General features: G+C 41.3%; 1 long non-coding RNA gene and 1 pseudogene across 2 annotated transcripts in view, besides 2 other annotated features; both read left to right on the top strand.

Moving 5' to 3' along the window:
* Positions 1-20,716, top strand: part of LOC124901774 (uncharacterized) — a 39,410-nt gene that overhangs the window by 8,207 nt on the left and 10,487 nt on the right. For both annotated transcript variants that reach the window (XR_007060589.1, XR_007060588.1), the window contains one exon: positions 17,701-17,812. This is a non-coding gene — a long non-coding RNA (uncharacterized LOC124901774). The remainder of the gene's footprint in view (positions 1-17,700; positions 17,813-20,716) is intronic.
* EIF2AP3 (eukaryotic translation initiation factor 2A pseudogene 3) lies at positions 1,589-2,674 on the top strand (annotated as a pseudogene).
* Positions 15,203-15,422: an enhancer, noted in NCBI's record as "active region_26840". NCBI's record gives its function as "activates an Ori minimal core promoter by ATAC-STARR-seq in GM12878 lymphoblastoid cells {active_cell/tissue: GM12878}" and the evidence as "EXISTENCE:reporter gene assay evidence [ECO:0000049][PMID:35858748]".
* Positions 18,095-18,144: an enhancer, noted in NCBI's record as "active region_26839". NCBI's record gives its function as "activates an Ori minimal core promoter by ATAC-STARR-seq in GM12878 lymphoblastoid cells {active_cell/tissue: GM12878}" and the evidence as "EXISTENCE:reporter gene assay evidence [ECO:0000049][PMID:35858748]".

Below are 20,716 nucleotides of genomic sequence, written 5' to 3'. Positions count from 1 at the left end.
CGTCGAAGTCATTCTCCATCCAGCTTTGTTCCGTCGCTGGTGAGGAGCTGCATTCCTTTGAAGGAGGAGAGGCTCTCTGATTTTTAGAGTTTCCAGTTTTTCTGCTCTGTTTTTTTCCCCATCTTTGTGGTTTTATCTACCTTTGGTCTTTGATGATGGTGACGTACAGATGGGTTTTTGGTGTGGATATCCTTTCTGTTTGTTAGTTTTCCTTCTAACAGTCAGGACCCTCAGCTGCAGGTCTGTTGGAGTTTGCTGGAGGTCCACTCCAGACCCTCTTTGCCTGGGTATCAGCAGCGGTGGCTGCAGAACAGTGGATATTGGTGAACCGCAATTGCTGCTTCCTGATCGTTCCTCTGGATGTTTTGTTGCAGAGGAGTACCCGGCCGTGTAAGATGTCAGTCTGCCCCTCCTGGGGTATGCCTCCCAGTTAGGCTACTCGGGGGTCAGGGACCCACTTGAGGAGGCAGTCTGCCCATTCTCAGATCTCAAGCTGCGTGCTGGGAGAACTACTACTCTCTTCAAAGCTGTCAGACAGGGACATTTAAGTCTGCAGAGGTTACTGCTGCCTTTTGTTTGTCTGTGCCCTGCTCCCAGAGGTGGAGCCTACAGAGGCAGGCAGGCCTCCTAGAGCTGTGGTGGGCTCCACCGAGTTTGAGCTTTCTGGCTGCTTTGTTTACCTTCTCAAGCCTCAGCAATGGCGGGCGCCCCTCCCCCAGCCTCGCTGCTGCCTTGCAGTTTGATCTCAGACTGCTGTGCTAGAAATGAGCGAGACTCCGTGGGCGTGGGACCCTCCGAGCCAGGCGTGGGATATAATCTCCTCGTGTGCTGTTTGTTAAGCCCATTGGAAAAGCTCAGTATTAGGGTGGGAGTGACCCGATTTTCCAGGTGCTGTCTGTCACCCCTTTCTTTGACTAGGAAAGGGAATTCCCTGACCCCTTGCACTTCCCAGGTGAGGCAATGCCTTGCCCTGCTTTGGCTCACGCACAGTGTGCTGCACCCACTGTCCTGCACTCCCCAGTGAGATGAACCCAGTACCTCAGTTAGAAATGCAGAAATCACCCGTCTTCTGCGTCGCTCATGCTAGGAGCTGTAGACTGGAGCTGTTCCTATTCGGCCACTGGCTCCTCCCCCATCTTGTCATTTTCTTACTCCAATATAGCTTTATTCCCATCACCTTCTCTGTGCTTTTACTAGTAAACATTATATTTTTCTATGTTATAGATTCTACAATACAATAATATACACATTGTTTTTTAAAGTTGCCTTTCAAATCAGTTAATAAAAGGGGAATAAATGTGAAAAAAAGAAAGAAGAAAAAGAAGAGAAAGAAAGAAAGAAGGAAGGAAGGAAGGAAAATTTTCTTATCTTGAAGTGTGATTGTATTCACAGCAACTCCTTCTTTTTCAACCTTAATGTCTGTTTCAACCTTAATGTCTCATTTTGAAATATATTTTCACTGAATATATTATTCTACAAATAGTATCTTACAATAGATTCTGTGCCTGGTAAAGGCTTACTCCTTGCTTCCAAGATGGTGCCTGTTTCCTGGTTTGAGGCAAAGTAACATTAGTAGTGAGAACTAAAATACAATCTAAAAGCTACTGGTGAGTTGGTAATAGGTAGTGCAGATGTTGACAAAACCATAGTTTTCTACTGTCAATAACAAACATGTTTCTATATTGCAACAAATAAAATGCTATAATGTAAATACTGAAGAGTGATCCCATTTATAATGAGTTGGGCCCTCTAGGAAAACTCTTGTCAAAGCAGCAATTCTCTACTTGCTGTGTGATTGTAAACTTGACTTTGGAACTGGCTCTTGTAATACAGTCTACTATAGCCTTCATACATATTACCACTGTATTCATACATATTACTACTGCAGGGGTTTGGAAATCAAGGGGACAAATTGTGGGGTGTTAAAAACCACAAACTTATTTCCAAACCTATGGCTTCAAATTTTACATACTTTGCTTGGTGCCCAGATAAAGAGCTGTACAATGTTTTTTCTGCATCCAGTGAGATGATCATGCAATTTTTGTCCTTCATTCTATTAATATGGTGTAATACATGACTGATACTTGCATACTGAACCTGTCTTGCAACAACTACTACATGTGCCCCCAGGTTATGTGTTAATAATGGGTGCGAGATTTTCCATTATACTAGCTCTATCTTGCACAAGAATATCACGCCATCAAATGCAGAAATCCTTAGTGAAAAATTCTGGACATAGTATTTCCAATAAGATCAATAACTTATCAAGCAGTTCTAAGTACCCTGTGAGGAGCCAATATTGCAATGACTTTTAGAACTCCAGTTAGAAGAAATGAACAAGTCGTTGATCTTAAGCTGCATGAGGAGGGGCCGCAGAGAATATGAAACTACAAGGGCAAATAACAAGCCATTTCCCAAAACATCCCCTAAGAACAAAGGAAGCATGAAGCCAGTCACTGCAAAACAGGAAACACACCCCAAAATTTGTTCTCTCAGCCAACATGAAGAGATTTTAAGATAGCGGGGAAAACATGAGAACCTAAGAAACTGAAAACAATCAAACAACTGAAATAACAAGCAGCAACTGGCAAACAGCTGGGAAAAAAAGCAGCTGTAGAAAATTCAAAAAGAGACAGCCCTTCTCCAGGAGCTAGAAGATTTAGAAATGAGTCTTTTAGATATTTAAAGAACATAAATTGCATGCCAGAAATCAGTGTAAATATATCTTCTCTTTAAACCTGATGGGGTACTCTAAACATTCTTACGCCCACACTTGATGATCATTTATAATGCATCCAATGTTCTGAATATATGGGGTTTTTAAATGTTTATTAAATGGACTTTTTCCACCTTTCAATATAATGTGGAAGGGGGTAGGAATGAGTTTTTTTAACCAAAGCTTGACAGACTAAAACAGAGATATTATTATCCACTAAAGAACAGACTCTCAAAGACACCAATAAAAGCATCTTACATTTTTTTAAAAGAGGAAGGAGCAAAAGGAAGAGTGATCAAAATCAGGAAGGAAGGCTGCATGCTGACTCTGCATGTTCTCTGCAGAATCTTCAGTAAAAGTTCCTGAAACTGAAACAACAGTAAAGGAAAAGTCAAATAGGAATAATTGTGTGTGTGAATACCAGGGTGTTTTTTTTTTTTTTTAAGTAACAGTAAAAACACCACATTTTAGGCTTTTGGAGTCTTGCACCAACAAAGAAACAGTGCATAATTCTGTAGGACTGAGGAGGTAAAGAAAAGGCTGAGGAAAAAGAGGACTCTTAGAAACAGTGGGGAAGATTTCAGGATTTTTCTTTCTTTTAAACTAGTACTATATTTATTCTTTTTCATTACCTTGTTCCTTTTTAAATTTTTATTTTTATTTCAATAGTTTTTGGGGTACAGGTGGTTTTTGGTTACATGGATTAGTTATGTAGTGGTGTTCTCTGAGATTTTAGTGCACCCATCACCCAAGCAGAGTACACAGGACCCAATGTATCATCTTTTATCCTTCATCCCCCTCCCAATCTTCCCCCCTCCCAGTTCCTCTGTCCATTATATCGGTCTCATGCCTTTGCATCCGCATAGCTTAGCTCCCACTAAGAAATGAGAAAATACACTATTTGGTTTTCCATTCCTGAGTTGTAAGTGGGATCTCCCAGGGCACCACTAGACAGGTCAAATAATGACATTGTTTTAGAAATGGGACTTTTAAGGGGCTCTAACTCCATTCAGCTGCCTTCAGTGGCTTCCAGGCTGCTAGTTTTCATAGTGATTTTAGTTTTTTGGTTTTCAAGGTTACTGCAGAGTGGGGGTAATGAGAAAGGGGCAGGTTGAAACATGACAGAACTCACTATTCTTACTATTTTTCTTGAATGAACACTCTCTATATTACTTCAAGCGTTGGGTTGATACACAGAGTTCTGAAAAACAAAAATAAAAACAAAAACAAAAAACAAAGAGTTGATTCTGACTATTTTTTGACAGTGTTCTCTATTTTTGTGGAGATTTTTGGAGGGCATTATTCTGCTATTCCCACTGACATCATCTCACAATTATATTTGTCTTATAAATATATAGCATTATGGTTGCAGTGTGAAAGGTAATTTGAGAGAAGCAAGCCTTGAAACAGGTTCAATCCAAAGAAGAAGTTGCAACAATCCAGTCCAGAAATGATGGTGACCATAACTCAAGTAGAGATAAGGAAAAAAAAAAGTGGATGCTCCAGAGAGATATGAAGCCTTTATAATACACAACTCTTTTATTATTTATTGGAAGAAAGAGTCAAGGCTTCTGGCATGGACAACTGGACAGATTATGGCACCATTTGCAAAATAGGAAACCCAGGAAGGAAGGGATGAACATCCAGTGGAGCCAAAGGTGGTGCCCGTGAGAACCTCATTACCCAGTGAAAACACAAATAGAAGAAAGACCAAAGGTGTTTAATGCATGCTCCAATACCCAGTAGACCTTGCAGTGTTGACTTGAAGCTATGGTGGCCAACAGGCAATGGGGAAAGGATTCCCTATTTAATAAATGGCACTGGGAAAACTGGCTAGCCATATGTAGAAAGCTGAAACTGGATCCCTTCCTTACACCTTATAAAAAATTAATTCAAGATGGATTAAAGACTTACATGCTAGACCTAAAACCATAAAAATCCTAAAAGAAAACATAGGCAATACCATTCAGGAAATAGGCATGGGCAAGGACTTCATGTCTAAAACACCAAAAGCAATGGCAACAAAAGCCAAAATTGACAAATGGGATCTAATTAAACTAAAGAGCTTCTGCACAGCAAAAGAAACTACCATCAGAGTGAACAGGCAACCTACAGAATGGGAGAAAATTTTTGCAACCTACTCATCTGACAAAGGGCTAATATCCAGAATCCACAATGAACTCAAACAAATTTACAAGAAAAAAACAAACAACCCCGTCAAAAAGTGGGCGAAGGATATGAACAGACACTTCTCAAAAGAAGGCATTTATGCAGCCAAAAAACACATGAAAAAATGCTCATCATCACTGGCCATCAGAGAAATGCAAATCAAAACCACAATGAGATACCATCTCACACCAGTTACAATGGCGATCATTAAAAAGTCAGGAAACAACAGGTGCTGGAGAGGATGTGGAGAAATAGGAACCCTTTTACACTGTTGGTGGGACTGTAAACTAGTTCAACCATTGTGGAAGTCAATGTGGCGACTCCTCAGGTATCTAGAACTAGAAATGCCATTTGACCCAGCCATCCCATTACTGGGTATATACCCAAAGTATTATAAATCATGCTGCTATAAAGACACATGCACACGTATGTTTATTGCAGCACTATTCACAATAGCAAAACTTGGAACGAACCCAAATGTCCAGCAATGATAGACTGGTCCTTTAAGAAAATGTGGCACATATACACCATGGAATACTATGCAGCCATAAAAAATGATGAGTTCATGTCCTTTGTAGGGACATGGATGAAGCTGGAAACCATCATTCTCAGCAAACTATTGCAAGGACAAAAAACCAAACACCGCATGTTCTCACTTAGAGGTGGGAATTGAAGAATGAGAACACATGGACACAGGAAGGGGAACATCACACACCGGAGACTGATGTGGGGTGGGGGAAGGGGGGAGGGATGGCATTATGTGATATACTTAATGCTAAATGATGAGTTAATGGGTGCAGCACACCAACATGGCATATGTATACTTATGTAACAAACCTGCACGTTGTGCACATGTACTGTAAAACTTAGAGTACAATAATAATAATAAAAAACGAAAAGAAAAAGAATTTAGTCCAGGAAAATTTCGTAAAAAAAAAAAAATTGCAGTGACTTCTTTTAGGCTTGTTTAGCTTCCTGACTTACTAGGCAGTTTTCAATTCATCATTATATTTTGGAATAATTAAGAATTCAGGAGATGTTTAACTTCAAGCTCTCCCTCACTATTTAAACTCCCCAAATTTAAATATTTGCCATAAATAACTTTCAATTGATTTCACCCAAAATTCATTATTTGAATTGAAACTCCACTGAAGCAAATCTGGTTGTGTACACCAGTAAAACATGGATATTGCCCTTGAGTCTGTAGGGTGAAAGTGAAGTAAACTGCAGTCATATCTCAGTTGTTTCCTGACAAGATCCTGTCTTGTTCCCACGTTGTCTAAATTGGTTTTTAATTGTTGGAATCATTTTCTCCACATTATTAAGTGAAAGTTCTTCTATGAGAAAGGGACAATTTATTGCTGATTTCCAAAGTTTCATGAAGTGATGACTGCAAAGCAACACAATAACAACACCAACACCAACATCACCAACAGAAAAACCCTTCTTGGATCTTTTTTTTTTTTGGATCTTTTTGAAGAGGTCTGAATTGGTGACATGTACAGTGAAGAATGTGAAGAGCTATGAGCCTTACATAGCAAAGGACTTACTGCCAGAGAATTCAGTTCAAACCAATGCTCAGAGTTGCAAGAAGGAGTCAATCTTGCAGAATAATCTTAAAGATTAATTGAGTACATTTTTGAATTTAAAAATTTTTGCAATCTATCCATCTGAGAAAGGGCTAATACCCAGAATCTACAAAGAACTTAAACAAATTTACAAGAAAAAAACAACCCCATCAAAAAGTGGGCAAAGGATATGAACAAACACTTCTCAAAATAAGACATTTATGCAGCCAACAAACATGAAAAAAAGCTCATCATCACTGGTCATTAGAGAAATGCAAATCAAAGCCACAATGAGATGCCATCTCACGCCAGTTAGAATGATGATCATTAAAAAGTCAGGAAACAACAGATGCTGGAGAGGATGTGGAGAAATAGGAACGCTTTTACACTGTTGGTGCAAGTGTAAATTAGTTCAATCATTGTGGAAGACAGTGTAGCGATTCCTCAAGGATCTAGAACCAGAAATATCATTTGACCCAGCAATCCCATTACTGGGTATATACCCAAAGGATTATAAATCTTTCTACTATAAAGACACATGCACACACATGTTTATTGCAGCATTGTTCACAATAGCAAAGACTTGGAACCAACACAAATGCCCATCAATAATAGACTGGATAAAGAAAATGCAGCACATATACACCACGGAATACTATACAGCCATAAAAAGGATGAGTTCATGCTCTTTACAGGGATGTTGATGAAGCTGGAAATAATCATTCTCAGCAAACTGACACAGGAATAGAAAACCAAACCCCGCATGTTCTCACTCATAAGTGGGAGTTGAACAAAGAGAACACATGGCCACAGGGAGGGGAACATCACACACTGGGGCCTGTTGCGGGGTGGGGGGCTAGGGGAGGGATAGCATTAGGAGAAGTACCTAATGTAGATGACGGGTTGATGGGTGCAGCAAATCAGCATGGCACGTGTATACCTATGTGACAAACCTGCACGTTGTGCACATGTATCCCAGAATTTAAAGTATAATAATAATAATAAAAGAAACTTTAAAATCATACAAAAGTCATCAACAGAAGCATTCCACTATATGATGCAATCTCAAGCACAGTGTTACATTATTACCCAGGGGTCCGTATGCTTTCAAGCAGAGGAAACACAAAGACATGGCCATTTTGAGTTTTTCCCATCACATTGCTTTGACTATGATTTCAGACAACAGGCCACAGTCATCTCCTTCTGGAGGGTCAAATGCCATAAAGACAGTTCCCAGTCCCTTGGAACTGGATATGGACAAACCCCAGGAGTGAACAATTCCACCTCCTCCTTTATCAGCTCATCCCACACACTCACCCCGCTGAACAGCCACCGTGAGGACTCCGGTCTCCCTCTCCTCTCCTCTAAACCTCATTTAGGCAATTCTAATTAGTAAATAATCCTTTTTTAAATTTGTGAGTGAAATTTGATTTTGTTATCTATATGAACCTATTTTTGTATTTAATCAATTTTTCTGAATGCTTGTAGAAGTGTAGTAGAAAAGAATGTTTGCATTTATATCATTGCTTACTGCAGACAGATATGAGTGTAGTGTTAAATCACTGGCAAATAATCAGCTAAACAATTAGCTGATTGGCATTTAATGGCCTTACATTTTGCAGAAATCATTGGTGATTTTTATTATATTGCTTTGATTGTTTAAAAGTGTTTTAGTGATATCTGGAGGAAATTGTTGGGGTTTTTGGATGGGCTAGAAATGTACTGCAGCTTTTCCCCTTTAAATGATGAAATATAGAACCCCTATTGTGGAATTTTGCTATGTAACTTTTTTTGGGATGTATGACATTCGGAGCAAGGGATTCCTCTACTGTGAGATGTAATGGGGTGGCATTGTAAAAGACTCAGCAGGCCATGAAGGCAAAGAGTTGTGGGTGAGTCAGGGCTTTATAAAGATCTCTGAGCATCTGAGAACCTGCTTCTCACACACAATCTGTTTTCCTGGCTATTATGAGTCAAACAGGGAATAAAGCTGACCAATAGTACCTTTAAGTTCTGTTGACTTTACAATTCTATGATAAACCTGGGAAAGTAAAACCACCAGGAAAAGAGTCTGTTACCTTGGTGAAGGAGGGTAGAAGCGATTTGGGATATTCTAGGCTCAGCAGGTGCAACGTGGAGAAGAAGCTAGGGACACAGTTGACAACGAGAGGCTCCCACATGTGGCCCTCATTGATCTGTCCCCCACCCCATCTAGAGCCATTTGAGCCACTCCAACTGAGGCCCAGTCTGCAAGGAGTGAAGTCAAGTTGTACCCAGTGTGCTCTGCCCAAATTCTTGACACACAAAAACACGTTGTTTTAAGCCACTGAGTTTTGGAGTAGTTTCTTATGCAGCAACAGATAATCAAATCACCTGAGTGGGTTCCTACAAGGAGAATTGCTATACAATTGGTACATGCATTTGTAATTTTGAAAGATATTACTGAATTGCTTACAATAAAAATTTTAGTCAAATTAGTTTCACCAGCATTTTATTAGTTTCCCATATTGATTTCTCATAATTTTATCTTTGCCAAACTGATAGGTGAAAGATGATGTTAGTGTGATTTTCATATACATTACTCAATGGGAATATGATTGAGTCATTTGTCATATGTCTATTTATTAAAGAAAGAACTATATTTTTTATTGATATCTCTTACATATTTATTGCCCATGTTTCAATTCTGATGGGAATAATTTTGATATTGATTTGTAAAAGTTCTTTATGGGGCCAAAAATGATAATTTATCTTCTTTTTTTGAATTTTTTATAAAACAACTTCTAATTTCTTTCACTGTTAATTTATTGTGGCTAGTATCTAAGAGAATGTTAAATAAGTAATCACAATGATAGTAGGCTTCCTTAGCTTGTTCTTAACTTTTGTGGCAATATCTCAATGTTTACCATTAAACTAGATGCAGACTTTGAGGTTGAGATGGAAAATTTTCTTATGGGGAAAAAGAACCAATTATTAGACATTTAATTTTACCAAATTACTTTTCAACAGCTAAGGAGGTGATCAGATTATGTTGCTCCATAGCTTTGTAATACATTAAATTGTATAAAAATATTTCCTAGTATTTCCTAATATTGACTTCTTTGCATACTTAGACAAATCTTAATCACACAAGGTGTTGCTTGATTCTATTTGTTAATAGCTAATTCAGGATTTTTGCCTTGATATTCCTAAGTAATCTTATCCATTTCTAAGACAGAGCAATTCTGTCTTCAATTGTGCTAGTTCTAGCTGGACCTGGTTTGAGGGTCTCGTCTCTTTTTGTTAAAGTAAATTAAAATGGAGACCAGACCCGGAGAATACCTGAGCAGACAAAAGCAGTTAGGCCTTACAAATGACCTCAACCTTGCTTGATTTGCAAAGATAAGCAAGTCTTAATTTGAGCTATTTCTTGTAAATGTTTAATATTAAATAAAAGCAGAACTTAAGCTCAACTAATTAGAAGTAGCCAGCAAACAAAACTATGGACTTTACAACAGGGTAGACCAAATAAGGTAACTGTATAACTGTAACCAATCAAATATTTTATTTTCTTCTGTGCCATCCTATAAAACCTCCCTCTTCTATTTTTACCATCACCACCTTTTCCCTATCACTACCTCCTTTCTCAGGCAAACATGACAGTTAACAAAAACAGTAGGATAATGAATGTTATTAAGGAGAACACTAGGATGTTTTAAGAGTGTATAGAGGATCTGCTAAACTAATAGTAGGAGTAGTTGGAAAAGACTTCTTAGAAAAATCAACATTGTTTAAGCTGAAATTGAATAGTGAGTAGAAGTTAGGGAAAGAGATTAGAAGTATTTCCAGGAAGAAGATAAAGCATATTCCAAGGTAAGTGAAGACATGGAACTCTCAGTTAATCAAAGAAAGCCAAGGATGGCTAGATCCTCAAGGTGGGAAGTCACATTGTGTAGAAATGAGGCTGGAGATTTTAGCAGATGATTTTTTACAGAAACTCATAATTAAGTTTGGATCCTGAATGTTTTATTATGGAAAATGGAAAAACACTCCAGGCTTGAATCTAGGTATGTCACAGTCAGATATGTGTAATTGTGGGCTGTGTGAATTATGAATTCAAAACCTTCTCCCTCATCAGGCTTTACATAATCTGAATTTTGGTCGCTTTAATTGTGGTCCTCCTCCACTTGCTCTGCCTCCCACGAACTGCACCCTCTCAGTGCATGGAAACAGAACAAGTGAGTCAAAGAGAGCATAGAGGAACCCTGGCTGTAAACTTTGAGGTGAACCCACTGGGTCACCAGCCCATTCTGTTTCCTTTGCTCATAACCCTGTCAGCCCCTACCCCATTTCCTCTCCAAAAACTCTCCCATAATATCTTTTCATTTTCACTTGCTGTCCTTCCTGAGTTTCATCTCCCTGAGTGTTGAGAGGCATTTGGTTTCTAGGTGTTTTGTGAAGTGTGAAAAATAACTTCAGTGTGTGAAAGGAAACCACAAGACCCAGGGCTGCTATAGCAGCAAGCTCTGTTCTCAGAGAGGGTAGATAACTGTCTTATCCTGTGTGATCTGAAAGGGCTGAAAGTCCCCTCAGTAAAACATGCACCCCATTGGTCTGGAGCTGTCATTCCTCTCTCAGAGGTAAAGGTTTTCCATCAGGACAGTGGCTAGGTAAGGGGAAAATAACTCACAGGGAGATACTGAGAAGGAAGTCAAAGGAGCTGAATACAAATCAAATATTAATAGCTCAAGTGAAGAGTTAACAATTCAAGCCCTTGGCTGGGCACCGTGGCTCACACCTGTAATCCTAGCACTTTGGGATGCTGAGGTGGGTGGATCATGAGATCAGGAGTTTGAGACCAGCCTGGCCAACATGGTGAAACCCCGTCTCTACTGAAAATACAAAAAATTAGCTGGGCATGGTGGTGGGTGCCTGTAATCCCAGCTACTTGGGAGGCTGAGGCAAGAGAATTGCTTGAATCTGGGAGGCAGAGGTTGCAGTGAGCTGAGACCACGCCATTGCACTCCAGCCTGGGTGACAGAGCAAGACTCTGCCTCAAAACAAACAAACAAACAAACAAACAAATCAAGTCCTTAAATGCTGGGGGTCCACTGGAAGGTTTCTTTGACGTGGTCTGTTGCCTGTTATCTTGGCCACATCTTGTAAAAAGATGACCTCTATAGGTTTAACTTGCTACAGATCCCAGGCTTGAATATCATCCATTAAAATAGCAGAGACTGCTCTATTTGCCTTTCTCTAACTTTCCTTCTTCATCCTGCCCTGAAGTTCTCCCACATACATTTTTAACTACTCAGTCCATCAGTGATCACATATACCCAAAATACGTCCTCCATATTCTCACTGGGGTTCTGGAGTTAGACAGAACTGAGTTCCAGTTTCTACTGGGCCACTGACTAGCTAAGTGTCCTTACTCAAACTTGAGCCTAATTTCCTTCATCTTAAGGTGGGAACAATTTAAACTATCCAGTCTGAATTAAATGGAAAAGTGCACGTAAAGGATGAATTCCCAGTGGCTAGCACAGAGGTTTTCAAGCCTTAGCCTGCATCAGAATCACCTAAAGAGTTTATTAAAATACAAATGGCTAGGCAACATCCCTGGAATTTCTGAACTAGTAGGTTTTGAATGGAGCCTGAAAATAGCATTTCTGACAATTCCCATGATGCCACTGGTCTGGGGACCTCACTTTGAGAACCACTGCTCTTGGACATTGCTGTATCATTTGCACTGTTGAAGTTGGGCCACTGCCATGACTAGTGGAATTGGGGCCTGTGCCCAGCTACAAATAAAAGTTGGAGGTTTATTTCTGAGGCATCTCAACTTTCAGGGACATTTAGGCTGTTTCCTGATGGCCCACAGCACCTCTCCATTTTGTTTCTTCTAGGATGATCTTAGATGAGAGGGTCTTATGTTGACTTTTCTCACCTAAAATTTTACATTTCAGATGTGCTTTTAAAAACTCTCTTATGATCTCCATTTCAGCTGATTTAATCATAGGTGAGAGTCCTTTAACAGACAAAGCTTTAGCTCAGTGGTTCTCAAACTTTAGCAGGCATCAGACTCACTTGGGGGTTTTACTGAAACTTAGATTGCTGGACTCCGCCCCCAGAGTTTCTGATTCCATGAGTTAAGGATGGAGCCCATATTTCCTAACAAGTTTCCGGTTCATACTGATGCTGCTGATCCATGGCCCACATTTTGAGAACCACTGGTCTAATACACAGTAAGTCTGAAAAGGAGCTAATACTATAAACTAGCACCCCTGGGGACCATCAGAATGACTGGGCCATTTACATGAACTCCAAGTAAGGTTTAAAATCTCTGATGTATCTGTCATGTGGCAGAGGATGGAGTAAGGGGAAAAAGAAGAAGAAACCAACCTGGCTCCATCTGTACAAATGTCTTCCCATGTTGCTGAGGAAATGAAACCAGCACACATGGAGAAATGGAGTCCAAGAGGCATTGTCTGATTGACAGACAGCAGAGGATCAAAAAATCTCAAGTTGTGGAGGTTGTCATGTAGGAATTTTGCACTAAAGGAAGGGAGGATTTGGAAATGTGGAGAACTTTGGGGACAGACAAATAAACAGGTGGAAGGAAATAGTGTGAATGGCTTTAAGGTAAAAACAAGCATTGCCTGGGTAAGAAAAAGTAAATGGGTACCCCTTATAGAGCAGATACAGCTACCGCTTACTTAATTCTTTCTGGCTCAGCCCTGGGTTTTATATCTTCTTCTCATTTAATGCTTACAGCAACAGTAGGAAGTAGAAATTATCATGTCCATGTCTAAAGAAGTAAAAATAAGGCTCAGGAAGATGAGGAACTCAACCAGTGTTACTCAGAGAATGAAAGTAGAATCAGAGATGGAGTCTGTCTACCCCAAGCGCCTTGCTGCGAGTCTCATAAGGTAGCAGAATAGAAGCAAGGGGGCTGTGAAGAAAGTTTGCAGCCTGATATAAAAGCTGTCAATTTCAGGCCAAGAAGTGTGAACTGTAACCTAGGTGATCATGGCTTCTTGAGCAACACACATGGTAGGTCTGAGCTACATAATCTTGATCTGCTGGGTACAGACTCATTAGAGAAGTGAAGAGAGAAGTCCCTTCTAGCTACAGAAAGTCTCCCTGTTCTTCTCCTTTTCCTGCCTCTCCTTTGCTCCCTAAACCCTGTACTTCACTCTCCCACTGTCAGTTTGTGCCTCTTTCTGTCTCACTGCTCTTCCCTCTTTCCTCTCTCTTTCTTGCATGGTGTCCTGTTAATCCTGATCCCAGCTCCCAGCCCCACTACCTTAGGGAATATCCAACCTCATGGGACACCCATTCCTCAGTCCCACGCTGAACCCAGAATCAGTGGGTCCTGAAGGTCAGAAAGTAGAGCAGAGACACTGGCTTTCCTGAAAAGGCCACTCCAGAGCCTGCCTGTCTGCTCTCAGAGCCCGCTCTGCCTCCATCCAGAGAACGCATGTGCACACACCATGCTGGGGCCCAGCCACCTCCCAGCTTCTCCAACTTTTAGGTCTTATCCTTTCTGAGTTTAGCATCTCTATGGGAAAAAAGGCTTTAGGAGTTCATTCAGTCTGGAGAATAGGCAATGATTTCTGTCTCTGAGTGGTGGAGCACATTTCAGGGCATAGGCAGACTGCCAGGCTAGAGTGATCAGAGATGGTTGCAAAGCCCCTTTGCCTGTAAGCATGACTCATGGCCATGAGACATTCTCATACTGTCATAGAAACTGGAATTTCTACTAAGAGAATTATATTGATATTAACAAAGGGAAGGGTATCAACTCCAAAAGCCCTCGTTGTACTGCATTAAATTACGTAGGGACTTTCTCCGCCCGCCTCCCCCAGCATTGTCTCTGCTGCGGTGCATTGACACATTCATTCTTTCCCTCTCTGAGTGGCATGGTAGCATCCATCAGGACTGTGTTTGCATCACTAGGGCTCCTCGCTAGCATGGAGGCCCTGGTTTTCCACTGGAGCCCATCAGCATGGACTTTGCCATTAGCACCCTAGCACCTGTGCCTCCCACTGACAAGTTCACCACCTCATGGAAAGAGCAGCAGCCTGGGGGTCAGGAGATGAAGGTTGGGGGCATGATGCTTGTTTTATGGTTAAAGTGAGGATTGCGGGAGGTGACTTAAGTTCTCTTCCCACATCAACATCCAAAGTTCTCTGATATTTCTGACCTTACCCAGTGAGCACGAAACTCTACTCACCCATTAGCACAGGCTGGCCAAATGACCCATCAACAGAGACTCAGTTCTCAGAGAGCTGTGGGAACACAGCTGAACTGCACAGGGCTGGTTCTGAGGACCTGTGATCCCTAATGGAGACCATACCTGGTGACCAGACCAGGAGAGTGACAATGCCAACCCTGGGAGGTGAGGAGTAGAGTGCCCTGTCCAGGGAGCTATGTTCGTAAAAGCCCGAAGTTCTGGGGTCTGACCCCTGAGATTCCACACAGTGTTGACTTGCAGAGACTGAGGGGCCAGTATGTCAGCTTTGTCCCCCTCTTGGTGCAAAATAACCAAGGAGGCAGGTTGTGCTGAGAGACATGGGCACTCAGCCCCCCTTTCTTCATGTTCCAATCCCTATCTCACCTTACCACAAACCATACTGTTCCCCTGAAAGCCCCTGGTTTCTGACCTATTCCTCAATATCATGGGGGAGCAAAGCGTGCCCAGGAGGGTCAGGACAGGAAGAAAAGGCCTCAAGAGTCAGGATCGCCTCCATCCCAAGGGCTTTGCACTTAGGTTTGGACAATGTCTCCTCATAGTTTCAGTTCTTCCTTTGCTTTGGCAATGCAGCATTTTTCTTAAACCAGTGTTACCTGCCATTTGTAGAAGTTTGTACCTCTTTATTATACAGTGTAGAGGTTTTTGTTCATGTGCCTCTCAGCATGTCCCCAGGAGGTCTGTGGTCTACAACTGATGTGAGCCCATTTCCCAGAACCTTCTCAAGATATGAAAGCAAGACTGTTTATTGTAAATTTACCTGTGAATGCAGCAACACTACTTCCTGTGGCTGCAACAGCCATTTTCTGTCTCACCTCCTCCATCTGTTATCTCAGCCTTCACATACAGTGTGGTTTCCACACAGGACAGAGTTAGAATTGGGGCCCATGTCCCCTCCCTACACATGGGATGTGCTCTGGATGGCTGGAAGGCCAGACTGGGATGAGGAGGAGTCTCTCCACGGACACCTTGCGGAATTGTGCTCAGGCCCCTCTGTAGACCCTCCCCAGGCTGGTGCTGACCCAAGGGTGACAGGAGAGTTATTCTCTGAGTCTGCAGACCCACACACGGCCTTATTCAGACAGACCCAACAATGACCATTTCTGACTTCCTCAGGAGTAGGCAAGATGACCACTTAGTTGAAGCAGGTGCCTCTGGCCTAACCTGCCATGCAGGAATCTGACAACTGAGTTCTGAAAGCCTAAACTGCTGACAGTTTTAGTTTTAGATTTGCTGCCTATTTGGAAGCAATGATAACCTACATTCTTTTTATTTTATTTCATTTTAAGTTTCAGGATACATGTACAGGACATGCAGGTTTTTCACATAGGTAAATGTGTGCCGTGGTGGTTTGCAGCACCTATCAGCCCATCACTTAGGTATTAAGCCCTGCATGCATTAGCTATTTATCCTGGTGTTCTCTCTCCCACTGCCCAACCAACAGGCCCCAGTGTGTGTTGTTCCCCTCCTTGTGTCCATGTGTTCTCATTGTTCAGCTCCCATTTATAAATGAGAACATGCGGTGTTTGGTTTTCTGTTCCTGTGTTAGTTTGATGATGATAATGGCCTCCAGCTCCATCCATATTCCTGCAAAGGACATGAACTTGTTCCTTGTTATGCCTGCATGGTATTCCATGGTATATATGTGCCACATTTTCTTTATCCAGTCTATTACTGATGGGCATTTGGGTTGGTTCCAAGTCTTTGCTATTGTAAATAGTGCTGCAATAAACATATGTGTGCATGTGTCTTTATGGTAGAATGATTTATATGCCTCTGGGTATGTACCAAGTAATGAGATTTCTGGGTTGAATGGAAGTTCTGCTTTTAGAAAGTATCTGAATTTTGGTTTGTGTGAATTTACAATCTACATGCAATACTAACTAAATCAGATAGCTTTTACAGTTTCACATGTGGACATAGGTTCTCTCCCAGTCTCTTCCATACCCATTAGTTATTGAACTTTCTAAACTGGCATTGAAACAATGTCTCTGGCATACAACAATGTTTTGTTGCACCAGTTTTATAAACTTATGCAGTGCAATATGTGTTATTTTTCTGAAGCAAACCAAAGGTTCTTGCTGCCTTGTTTAGCAGCATTTTATTAAGGATCTTTTATACATTTGTAATAGATAAAAATAAACCAGATTGCAAATCCTTTTTAAAAATCTTAAACCATGTACCAAGTTTTTGATCCAAATTGTGTAGGATAAGTTAAACTTAAATTGCATTCTGTTAACCAATATGAGTGTATTTGTGTAAGCAAAGTTATGTTGAAACAAAGTTTTAACAAGCAAAAAAATATTCCTCTGCACAGACCTATTTACACTGTGAAAAAGATAGGGGTTTTTTCGTGTGTAAAGGATATGTAATAAATTTTATTTACTCAATTTTTCATGTGTTATTCTGCTAGGGAAAATAATTTTTCTGTGTAAAGGGTATGTAACAAAATTCACTTACTTAATAATTTTTTGTGTTTATTCTGCTGGGCTCTGCAAATCACATGTCCACAAGATAGTCATGAATCTCTGACCTCAAGCAAACTCTCAGTCTAATGGAAAGAATGTTTGGGATTAATACAGGACCTGTCCCCAGTGATTCTTTATTGGAGCTCATGAGCCATCATGGGGACCCAGGGACTGGCCCACAAGGAGCTGCAGACCAGCCTAAGAGAAAATAATAAATCCTTAGCTGGGGCACAAGGAACACCTTAATACCATTCATTGCACAAATAAAGGAGAGGAGAAAATGGGCTTCAGGTGTTGACTAGAACAGACTGAATTTAGGTTTTGGGCAAGGTTGCTAACGGTGAGCACAGTTGGTAAATATGTCCCATCAACTGCTCATGTGAGGTATTTGGAGAGAAATCTGCCAGTCAAGTTGCTGAAAGATTACTGGATGTTTGGAAAATAACTGTTTCTTCAGCATGTCTTTGCATTATTCTTTCTATTATTTAATCATTTAAATAATTTTATTGTCCTTTTCACATCCCATTTGATCTTCGTGAAATGATACAGTGCAAAACTGGGCAAATGCTAAACACATGAGCAAAAATGGAGAAATGCCACAGGAAGATCTGAAAACTGAATTCACAGAGGCCTACACACATCCTTAAAATCTTACCATCAGGTGAGGCTGCACTGCACGATTTTCCCATTCGACAGCTCACTACTCAACCCTCCACTCTGTATGTCAAGACTGGCTGGGAGGGATAATGCCTTTGTGAGGTCTCCTTGGGGAGAGGGTGGGAGAGATGGCTGTACTGTCTCTGTTGCCTGGAGATTCAACCCTGACCTGCTCATGTGCATGCACTTTCTCAAGCCCGTTTCTCTAGCCCGTTTCTCTCTCCCTCATACTCATATCACCTCCCATGTCCATGCTTCAGGTGTTAGTAAATAGTTTCATGTGTGCTAAACCACAGGTTTTACAGAGTCTTAATTAATAAAACCCTAAATCCTAAGAGTTTGAAATGTAAGCACTGGAGTAGATTCCTGGAGGAGATACTTCTGAGGGTGAAGAGGGCAGATTAAAACATTTGCTCTCAAAAACCACATGGAAGTTTTTATGTGGTCCCAATCTTGCAGATGACCTACTGTGAGACCAAAAGTCAGAATTACAAACTAGTAAAATGGGAAGGTACATTAGCTCTCCTCACGTCACTCTCCTGCGTGAACTTTAACTTCTGTTTTACTCATGGTTGAAATTGTCAAGCTTTATGGCTAAAGTCATCAAGCTTTCTAAGTTCCCTTTTCAAACACTAGTCTTCTCTTGCTGCCATTACCCACTTTCATCTTTCATCTTTGGATATCTTATTTAGAGTTCCCTTCATGGTGAAAAAATTTCTGAAACAGGTACCCATTTGTCTGTTTTCTGCTTTGCATATCAACTGATAGCAAATTTCTTCAGATCTGTATAACTGCCAAGCAGCTTTTTTCTGAAGCTTTTAGTGAGCTCATTCACTATTTTCTATATAATGTATAATAATATATAATTATTTTACAAACTCCCTTCATATTCTTTGCTACACTCCACTGAACACTCCAAATTGCCAATATTTCCTATAGTCTAGTCCCTGGAATTGATCTATGTTTCTGATAAACTTACAGAGAGTTGGGAATATTATTTCCTGTTGGATCCAGGGCTTCTGTTAAGAAAGCGTGAGTTAAAGGGGCTTTTTTGGTGAAAGGTTTTTTGCGCCATTGGTTCTTATTGATTTTGGCTCAACTAAAAACTCCAGGTTATTTTCCATGGAAATTATCCTATTTAGAATGCCTCCAGTCTATTCTTCTAAGATTTATTGTTGGAAAAACTATCACTTAAGAATTTTCAAAATAATTATCCAGCTGGTTTTAGTGGAAGGGTTTAGCTTGTCAATCTTGTTTTGTGTTATCGGCCTTAGTATACCTCATTGCAAATATTATTTAGAATGGATTTTTTATTAAGAACATACTGGCTTCATAACTAACTGCATGGCTTCAGTGCATCCTGTCATGCTCAGTTTTTGAATATTTTAAAAGCAGATTTTAATATCTATTTAGACGATATCATAGGGATGTTAGAGGACATGCTAAAACAATAGAGATGAGAACTTTGAAGATGATAAAGTGCTTCATAGAGAGAATTCAGAAAAGGATAAAGGTGATGATGACACTGTTGATCATTATTATCGCCACATGTGCAACACGGCAATTTGTGGATTCCAAACCCCAGAGAAGCAATTTCCATTCAAAAAAATTGTAACACACAGTTTTTTTTTTTGTTTTTGTTTTTTTTTTTGAGATGGAGTCTCACTCTGTCGCCCAGGCTGGAGTGCAGTGGCACAATCTCGGCTCACTGCAAGCTCCGCCTCCCGGGTTCACGCCATTCTCCTGCCTCAGCCTCCCTAGTAGCTGGGACTACAGGCGCCCGCCACCATGCCAGGCTAATTTTTTGTATTTCTAGTAGAGATGGGGTTCCACCGTGTTAGCCAGGATGGTCTCGATCTCCTGACCTCGTGATCCACCCGCCTCGGCCTCCCAAAGTGCTGGGATTACAGGCGTGAGCCACTGTGCCTGGCCCACATACAGATATTTTTAGGGAAAAGAGAAGACCCCCTGTTCAGGGATTAGGACATTGTGGAATCCATCCAGGGGCTTTGTCGTGAGAACCCCCACCTGTTAGCCTATAACCAGAAACAGCCCCTGAGATAATTGTCTTGAATATCCCATTCATCTTTCATTGTCTTTTTGTGCTTTTATTCATGATGTTGGTGCCTTGTCTCCCACACCCAAAGGCCCAGAGCTCACAAGCTCTCTTTAGGTATCTTGGTTCCCAAAGGGAAAGGGGATGGAGGCAGAGTTGGTGTCATCTCAGTCACCTGAGGGAGCTTTTCCATAAATGAGGTGGCTCTGGAAGGAGGAGGGAGCCTGGCCCTGAGGGTGTGAGGCTTCAGTCAGAAAACCTGGATGCAGAGGATGTGATGGGAAATGGATGGACACTGGCTGTGACAGAGCTGGCCCAAGTGACCATGTGTCCAGGAATGAGTCTTGGCTAGACCGTGGGGCAGCCCAGGGAGGAGGGTCCATGCTCCAGACCAGCACTTCTTACCTTACACCGCCTGCCTTTGTCAATGAGTATAAACTCACAAAGGAAACTGAGGCCACGGAGTCCGACATAAAAAGGGACCTCCAGAGCATGTTGCTTGCTGCGGCAGTCAGCACAACAGCAGCCTTGCTTTCTCACAGACGGGAAACTGTCGGCCCTTCCCTCACTGCCCTTCCCATTTGATCTCATTTCAACTCAGCTGCGCAGTTCATCATGGTGCCCCTTCCATGCGTACAGTGCTGAGAACACTGTTGAGAAGAGACAAGCTCAGTGTCGTTGGAGGAATAAGACGATGCACAGGTCATAAATAATGCATAAAATAAGGCAGTCTTGCAACTAAGGACCCAAAATAGACAGAATCAAGGGCTGAGGGAGAGTAGTAGGAGGAATCCAGGCAGCGGGATCCATATTGGGGGAGTGGGGAGGGGCGTAGGTAGGCGGTACCCTGGG

The sequence above is a fragment of the Homo sapiens genome, chromosome 7, assembly GCF_000001405.40.
Source record: "Homo sapiens chromosome 7, GRCh38.p14 Primary Assembly".
Taxonomy (NCBI): Eukaryota; Metazoa; Chordata; class Mammalia; order Primates; family Hominidae; genus Homo; species Homo sapiens.
The sequence above is the reverse complement of the archived record's forward strand: the minus strand, read 5'-3'. Positions and strand labels throughout refer to the sequence as shown.